At 41.8% G+C, this 9,312-nt stretch overlaps 1 annotated feature.

Annotated features, from left to right (window-relative positions):
* Positions 8,666-8,960: a silencer, noted in NCBI's record as "tiled region #15608; HepG2 Repressive non-DNase unmatched - State 23:Low, and K562 Repressive non-DNase unmatched - State 24:Quies". NCBI's record gives its function as "represses a minimal TATA promoter and a strong SV40 promoter by Sharpr-MPRA in HepG2 and K562 cells {active_cell/tissue: HepG2 | K562}" and the evidence as "EXISTENCE:reporter gene assay evidence [ECO:0000049][PMID:27701403]".

Genomic DNA, 9,312 nt, shown 5'->3' with positions numbered 1-9,312 from the left:
TCCTTTATAAATATCTATTCCTTAAAGGCATCAATTCACAAACTCAAAACCAAACAAATCTGGAACAAATGTAGGATAAGATGTGATGTTTCCCTATCTCTCTTATGGTCAATGACCTCTTTTTGAAGGAACACATTTTTTATTATCTTTCTCAGACAGGTATCCTAGAGGACAATGGGACTCGCCACACATTAATGTGGGAGGTATTATGGCATCATGGTTACAAAAGTGAGCTTTAGAGTCACACAGATCCTGATTAAATTCTGGCTCTGCCACTTACTGGCTATCATCTTCAGAAAGTTACTTAACCTTTCGGGGCTTCTCTTTGCTCAACTGTAAAATGAAAATAATAATGATAGCTATCCCTTGGGTTTTTAATCAGGATTAAAAGACATAAGATATTATTGTAGACTCCTTATGAGAGTGCTTAGAGCATAGATAATATCCAACAAATTTTCACAAGTGTGATTAAGGAGATAAAAAAACGGGGCTGCTGCATAGGTTTACAGTGAATTGCAATTTTCTTTTACCTATTCCAGAGAGGTTATCTGAGTTCCCCAGGCAGCTGTTGCAATATTTTGTGTCCATGGGTTACTTTTTTTCTAGGCAGGTCATTTTCATTGCTCACTGTGTTTTCTGCTATTGTTTGGACAAAGATCTCATACGTTCCTTTGTGCTGTGCTCTCACTGCTGCTTAGTGTTCCCCTATGTTGACACATCTCTGGACACAAACTGTGTTGATGAGCTAATGGCTGAATGATCTAGCTTAACACAATAAGCTCTAAAAGTAGTTCTTTCACTTCCAAACGTTTTAAAGCCACTTTTTTGTAAAATCGCAGTAAGAGAAAGAAAAGAGACTATTTCACCCGTGTTAGTGGTAGGGAATAAAAGTCTGAGCATCCTCATGGCTGAAAAGAAAACCACAATAATAATACCTTGCATTTCCCTTTCCAGAGTGCTTCGCAAAAAGTATTTTATTTTGTTTTTATAGAAAACCAGGGAGAGGATCAGAGGTACACATACTTTAAATGTATTTTATCAGCTAGGAGATGAAGGCCAAAAGGAGGATAAGCAATATGTTTTCTTCTGCAGCTGGTCAGCTATTCAGAAACCAGTAGTTCATGGCACCATTAATCACCATTTCATTTAATCTCCTCCATTCCTTTGGGGCAACCAGAGGCTTCCATTCACAGTTTACTGGAGCTGCTTCTGATCATCATCATTGTTGTAACAACAGCAGCCATAATAACAATGACTAACATCACTGAATCCCTATATACCAGATGTTCTGAGTTTTTCACAGGTATTCACTCATTTCACTCATTGAATCCTTCCACAACCATATGAAGTAGGTATAATTATTTCCATTATAATGAAGAGGAAAATGTGGTACAGCAGATCCTCAAATGTCATTTTATTATAACCTTGAGGAGAAAGTAAAAAAGAGGAAACAAACACCGCTTCCCAGCTGGGGCCGCTGTCTGTGTGGGTTTTCTCCAGGTACTCCAGTTTCCTCCCACACCCTAAAGCTGTTGGCGTGTCTACGGGTCCCAGTCTGAGTATGCGTGTGTGCTTATGTTGAGGGGAGGGAGGGCTGGTTCCTACCCTGTGCTCTAAGCTTCTGGGATAAGCTCAGAGCCACCCGTGACTCTGAACTGGAAAAATCGAGTAAATGATGATCTTACCTGTTTGCATTCATCTTTCTTAAATGTATGTATGGCTCACATTTATTTCAATATTTAGCATTAGAAGTGTTTTGGTTTTCCTTTTGAAATTTGGTCGTTTTTGTGAACATAAATATGCCGCAGTAACTTAATTCTTATTTATATCAATTCATCTATGGTAAAATTGGTTTCCTTATCTGTCATTTTGCTTAACATCACAGCTTCCAAGAACCTATCAAAGACATTAGCAGGGGGGACTTGCTGTACTTGTTAGGGGACACATAACTGGTATATAGCATGGCAGCCAAGGGCATGGGACTGGCAAAGATGACCCTGATGAGCAGCTCTCTGGACCCTCTGCCTCTTTCCATTCATCCACCTTTTCATCCATGGCCCCCTGCCACTGTGAACTAAGATCATGACGTTGTTCCAAAGGCAACTACTTCTGGGTCCATGAGTTGACTAACACAGCTTTAAATGAAATAAATTTTAAAGGAAAAAAAAAAGTATGGGCCATAGGCCCAAACCTCAACTTCTTTTATCAAACTTCTGCCATTTCTTATCTGTAGTCATGAGTGATTAGAAGAAAGATGAAGGAGCATAAACAAAGCTGGGTCAACTTGAATAATAAAAGGACAACAACTTGGGGACCAGCTGTTCAATCTAATGCAGACTGCATGTTGCATCTCTAACAAACCAGACTTTCATCACACATTTAATATTAGAATTTTCTGTATCCGTTATCAAATGGATGTGTCAGCTATCATAGAGTTGCACAGAAATCATTATAAGTATTGCTGTTCCATCATTAGGAGGCAGTCAAGCCTTCAATAAATTCATGCTAAGGTGAGAGAGGGAAAGGAGAATGGTTCTATTTCATTGATAGTCACAGGTTAAAAGCTAAATAAAATCTAGAGTCATTACCAAACCCTAAAACCTGACACACATTTGTGAAATAAGGCTACTCTGAGAAGAGCTTCTTAAGACTCTTGAGGCAGAAAAACATCATGTTCTTACTTGGAAAAATCAAACCTCTAAGTAAAAGACTTGCCTTGAAAAAGGTCCCTGCCTAATGATTAACTGGTTAATGCTGAGAGCAGGGAGAGAAAGAAACTGGGAGGCCTGTTTGCCTTTAGGCCAGCTGGGGGCTCATTAAAACCCAAATCATTTTCAAGCAGGAGAAAAAACTAGGCTGATGGGAGAAGGCTCAAGCAGGTGAGAATGTCACTATTATGAAAGTAGCCATTCGCCCAGATCCCCTGAGCCACAGAACCACAGAGATTCTCCACATTGCCTGCTGCTGTGTAAGCCTTGTGCCACCTCCCTGGAGTGTAGGCCGCATGGGACACAAAGGATGTGGAAAAAATAAACTGATGCCAAGAGGTTGGCTTCAAAGTTTGCTGAGGATTTTGGTTTCTTTGGGAAGCAGTCATTCAAGCATGAGCTCCTGCTCTGCCCAACAGATGGGCTGTTTATGTTGCTCCTCTCCCATAAGGATTCCAAATTCATGTGAAAACAAGAGGAAAAGAAGACAAATAAGTTAAAAAAAAAATCCTTAATACCTAAATAAAGGTGTTGGGTAATAGGTGTCTCTCGCCCTTACAGAAACAAAATATTTTGTTCAACAGGAGTCTTGGGCCAGGCACAGTGCCTCACACCTGAAATCCCAGCACTTTGGGAGGGTGAGGCAGGAAGATTGCTTGAGCCCAGGAGTTCGAGACCAGGCTGTGCAACATAGGAAGACCCCCATCTCTACAAAAATTTATAAATAAAAATGAGTCTTGTACCCCAGCAGACTCTGGAAGACCAACCACTCTGAGAGGTCATGAGGGGCTCATAGAAGTGGAAGGGCAGCTGGCACGAGGTAAAGATGTTACAGCCAGAACAATGGCCAGGCAGAGAGAAGACCAGGGGCTGGGCCTGGCATCGTAGGGCACTTAGTGTTGCTTACATACACTGCATGCCTTATCTGTGTCAGTTTTTACACTACTCATGCATTATTAGATATTTTCTATGCTGCATACTCATGGATTATTATTTTCCTGGCATTTGTTTATTCAAAACATTCTAAGATCCTAACATATAAGTGGAAAAATCATAGAAAATATAATAAGTTTAAAATTATAAAATGTCAAGTATCAGAAGTTCAAATTAAAACCATAGTAAACTAGCATTTTTCACTTCCAAAATTAGCAAAGAGTTTTATAATGTGATACCTGTTTCTGGTAAGAATACATTAAAGGAGCCCTTTCATCATGATGAAGAGGAGGAGGAGGATAGTATGTTAGAGACCTGGAACCTAATCAGTGCTTAATAAAGAGTTGAGTGAATGAATAAGAAATTCGAGAAATTTTGTCTTTCAGTTCACCTTGGACTTAGCTTGGCTCACTCATGCTGGTAATGGTTTCTCCCTGCAGGACAGCAAGGACACTGCAAAGCCTCCTACAGGAGAGTATGGTATGAGGCTCTGTCTGCTCTGAAAGAGTTTCTTTATCATTCCAACAAATGACTCCAGGGCAAATGACTGTGTCTTCCTCCACATACAATTCTCTTTGCCGCAGTGGAAAATATAATGAATTTTGCCATGGACTTGAAGTTCAAGGTGTGATTCATGTTCTCTGACAGTAATCTGTGCAGAGAACATTCAACAGTAGAAATTTCCCTTCTGGGAAGGTTTGGCTAGTGGTGTAATGGTTATATACAAAAGCACTTGGTTCTTTCTATCAAGACATAGGTGAGCCATAGAAATGGGAGTGAGTTATCATTTGTTCATCTTGGGCAGGTCCTGCACTAGTGGTGGGTTGACACTCAAAAAGGAGTCCTCAGGACACATTTTGGGGCAGTGTTGCGGGAAGTCAGGGACCCCAAACGGAGGGACCAGCTGAAGCCATGGCAGAAGAATGTGGATTGTGAAGATTTTATGGACACTTATTAGTTCCCTAAATTAATACTTTTATAATTTCTTATGCCTGTCTTTACTACAATCTCTAAACATAAGTTTTGAAGATTTCATGGACAGTTATCACTTCCCCAGTCAATACCCTTGTGATTTCTTATGCCTGTCTTTAATCTCTTAATCCTGTCAGCCAAGGAGGGTGTATGTTGCCTCAGGACCATGTGATAATTGCATTAACTGCACAAATTGTACAGCATGTGTGTTTGAGCAATATGAAATCTGAGCACCTTGAAAAAAGAACAGGATAACAGCAATTGTTCAGGGAATAAGAGAGATAACCTTAAACTCTGACTGCCGGTGAGCCGGGCGGAACAGAGCCATATTTCTCTTCTTTCAAAACCAAATGGGAGAAATATCGCTGAATTCTTTTTCTCAGCATGGAACATCCCTGAGAAAGAGAATGTGCACCTGGGGGTGGGTCTCTGAACTGGCCCCCCGAGGGCGTGGGTCGTCTCTTATGGTCGAGGCTGCAGAGATGAAATAAACTCCAGTCTCCCATAGCACTCCCAGGCTTATTAGGAAGAGGAAATTCCCGCCTAATAAATTTTGGTCAGACCAGTTGATCTCAAAACCCTGTCTCCTGATAAGATGTTATCAATGACAATGGTGCCCGAAACTTCATTAGCAATTTTAATTTTGCCTCAGTCCTGTGGTCCTGTGGTCCTGTGATCTTGCCCTGCCTCCACTTGCCTTGTGATATTCTATTACCCTGTTAAGTACTTGATGTCTGTCACCCACACCTATTCACACACTCCCTCCCCTCTTAAAAATCCCTAATAAAAACTTGCTGGGTTTTGTGGCTTGTGGGGCATCACAGATCCTACCAATGTGTGATGTCTCCCCCAGATGCCCAGCTTTAAAATTTCTCTCTTTTGTACTCTGTCCCTTTATTTCTCAAGCTGGCTGACACTTAGGAAAAATAGAAAAGAACCTACATGATTATTGGGGCAGGTTCCCTGATACGGCAGAAAGTGGTGAAGCACTCATACAGGAAGCACAGGATTCTGGAACTATTAGGACTAATTTTCGCATATTGCAGATGAGAAACCCAAGGCCCAGAGAGGTTAAATAAATGCCCAAAATTAAACAACCAGAACTGGAGCCCTGAAAATCTAATACCCAGTCATGGGCTTTTTCCACTTTGACCATGTAGACAACAGAGTATTACATGAAACACAACTTCTAAAAGATTTTCCAGGGAAGAAGAGCAGAAGGAGGTTTTATGGTAAGAGAAATGTTGGAATCATACATGCACTATACTCTATTTACTCAAGCTCCTCCTCCCAGCTCCACTTCTACCTGGAGATTTACAATGAACCTCAGCATTTCAAAGGCTCTGAGAAGACATGCAGCAAGGAAAGCTTTTTAACACAGTTTAAATCAATGTTTTGAAGTTCATTTGACCACAGACTCTATTATATTTAATGATATTCTATAGTATTTGCATTCCTCAAAACACACTTTCAGAGATGCTGTACTATAACTTGCCCAAGTCTTCCCTTGCCTGAAATCAACCTCACACAAATGCTAAAAATTATTGCAGGACTAAAGATGGGACTCAGAAATAAATATATATCGCTCCTCCAGGAAATCTGGTATGGAACATTGGAAGGGATCAGCAGACTTTCCCCTCTATTTATCCATAAGACCTCAATCCTTCAACGATATTGTAAACCCTGTCTATTTCTTGTCCCTCTGAAATCTCAATTTTGCCAGCCTTTTAGTTATGGCATCTCCAACAATGATATAGACAGGAGGCAGAGAAATACTGGGTAGAAGAGGGCAGTTCCCCAGCAAAGGCCCCCACTCCCCTCAAGCCTGGAAACCCTTGGCCCTAAATGGGAACAGGCATTCCTGTTTTCATACTCCCCTATCCTGTACCCATATCAACCCCAAACCCCAGGCTCCACAAACAGAAGATCAGAAGAGCCGCAGAGCGGCATGGCAGAGAAAAAGAAGAGAAAGGGTGTCTGAACGTTGAGAGGAGTTCGACTGTGGGATGGCCAAACTCCAGGGGAAGATCATCTTCCCACACCATCCTCTTTCCAGCTCCTTATCCATCCTGCTGAGAGCCACCTCCATCACTCAATAAAATCCCTGCATTCACCATCCTTCAAGTTCGAGTGACCTGATACTTCCTGGATGCCAGACAAGGAGCCGGGTACCAAGAGGGCAGGGTGTAAATAGCTGTCACCCTGACTCTCCACTGAGCTGGTTTAACACTTACCTATCTGTGGACAACAACTGCTAAAAGAGCATTAATTGTAACACATCCCTAGACACTACCGTAGGGCTGGAGCCCCAAAACACTCACCCCAGCTCCTGCACCTGCCCATCTGTGTGCTCCCCCTCCCATAAGGGGTTTGAGCACAGCTCAAATAAACGAGCCACATCCCTGTCTCACGTCTTGCGAGGGGGTCAGGGAGCTCTCCCATTTCAATAATACTGATGTGTTCCACTCTCCAGCCTGCGTGGTATGCCTACTTCCATAATTTCTGCCCAGAAAGATGGCCCTTCTTAGTAAAATTACCACTTGGTTGTTTAAAAAAAAAATGCTTCCTCTTCAAATAATAAGAACAAATGTTTGCATTTTTCTCATTATAGAACTTTGCCTTAGCTTTAACTAAAATATAAATAATTAAATAGCTTTCCAAGGTCACTTCATTGACATGATCTATCATGAGAAAGAAGTTGAAACCCCCCAAAATGTTGTCTTCCAATATCAGAGAATCAAAGAACTTTCTCTAGGTGACCCATTTCAGAGTTCAGAATGTACTTGCTAAAATATTAGCCTCTCCTAGATATTATTTCTCAATTCTTTTTTCAAATTCCAGACATCATTTTAGCTCTCTGTGTTTTGTTAAGAAACATTGGCTCAGGTGTGGCTCATTCATTCTTGTCACTTCATTCAGAATCACTTCCCACTTTGGAAGGTCCCCTAATGGCTTCTTGTCAGGCTAGCAGTAAGGCTGCGATAGCCCATTGCTTCCTCTCGCTCTCTTCCGCCATCTTGAACTGCTCTGAAAGGTATATTACTCAGAACTGAGCAGGGCCGCAGACGGAGTCTGAGGACCTCATCCCCAGCTTAGAAAAACACCCCCAGGTCATGGCTTATACCACCCGTAAAGGGATGAGGGGTAGTTAGGACAGGCATGGCTTGCACTCCGAAAGGACCTAGGAACTCCTCTGAGGGGAACTGAACCAGAAGCTTAGCTATGGGAGGCAGAAAGGATGCGGGGTAAAGGGAAGGGGTAAATGGTACCCTCTCATAAAGATTTTAAGCTATTGACATGCAGTTAATGAGATGTGAACTTGCATGAAATGTGTGATTAAATCACCAATGGGCAGCTCATGGGACAAACTGAAAAATGTGGTACGTTTGTCATTTGCCCTCTCCCCCACTCACCACAGGGACAAATCCCCTCATAGTCCAGCCCACTGCAGTCAAGTTCCCCAGATGTTAAAACCTAGTGAAGCTTCTGTTTGGAAAAGCCTGGAGGGTATTTTCTTTGCTGCTTGACCACTGCAATGGAAATGTTGTCCATTTTGAGTTAAGTGGGCACTTGAATGTGTTTAAAGTAGTAGCAAAAAATCCTGTGTTCCTTAAGCTTTCAGATTTATATCTAATTCAGACTAAACTATGTGAGACCCAGACAGAATCTGGGGGCAGATCTGGACAATTGTGACTTCCACTCTGGGCACCTGAGAAACAAGAAGGAGGTTGATAGATTACAGTGAAAAAGGAAGAGGCATAGAGTGATTTATGAGAAAGATTAAAGCAGTTAAAAGAGTTTGGGCAAGGCATAACTAAGATGAGAATGAAGGTTAAAAAGTCCATAAATATTTGCATCAGGAAAAATTTTGACACACACAAACACACACACACACACACACACACACACTCCAGCAGCCCAGAGAAAGGGTTAAATGTCTTTCCTTTAAGGGCTTTAAAATACACTATTGGAAGATTTACTGCATACCTGAAAAGGTCTATTAGCTTTTCTCAGGAGAACGAACCACAGTATTGAAACCAGAAGTTTAGCTTGGGGAAGACAGAGGGGAGTCAGCAGGGAGAAGGGAGTGATTTCCTTCCCAAGCACATTCTCCAGAAGTATCATTGTCTTTTTGTTGTCAGGGTACACAGTCATGCAAGGTGGGCAGCATTGAAATAATCTCTCATGACTGTGATTTGATGCTTTGGTTGTGATAAGACTTTGGTTGGGAAAAGTCAGAAGAAAGGTCCTAAGGTAGTGAATTATTGCCACTGCTGGGTTCCTTGAGATAAGGACATATTGGCTGCCTTGCTTGCTTACCATTGCTAACCCAGTTGGATGTACGCTTCATTGCCCCATTTGAGATTTGTAGAACAGTACAAAAGGGCTTCTGGTGACTTTGGTGTCTGCACATCTTAGAATACCGTGACTGGCAGCCTCTCTTGCTCTTAGTTTTATATTCCTTGTAAAATCATGCAGCATTCCATGTCATTCTCTCAAGGTACAGGAACTCTCCTTACTCGGGAAATTTGATAAGAAAGATAAGGCCCGCAAGATTGCTCAAATCAGAAGGCAAGTTCTTCCTGGGAGTGTCCTGAGGATACTGGTAGAAACTGGCAGGATGAGATTAGAGATAATCCACATAGCCAGTAAATATCCTGTAGATCTAAGCCAGAGAAGGACTAAGCAAAGCACCACT

Source organism: Homo sapiens, chromosome 5 (genome assembly GCF_000001405.40).
Source record: "Homo sapiens chromosome 5, GRCh38.p14 Primary Assembly".
Taxonomy (NCBI): Eukaryota; Metazoa; Chordata; class Mammalia; order Primates; family Hominidae; genus Homo; species Homo sapiens.
The sequence above is the reverse complement of the archived record's forward strand: the minus strand, read 5'-3'. Positions and strand labels throughout refer to the sequence as shown.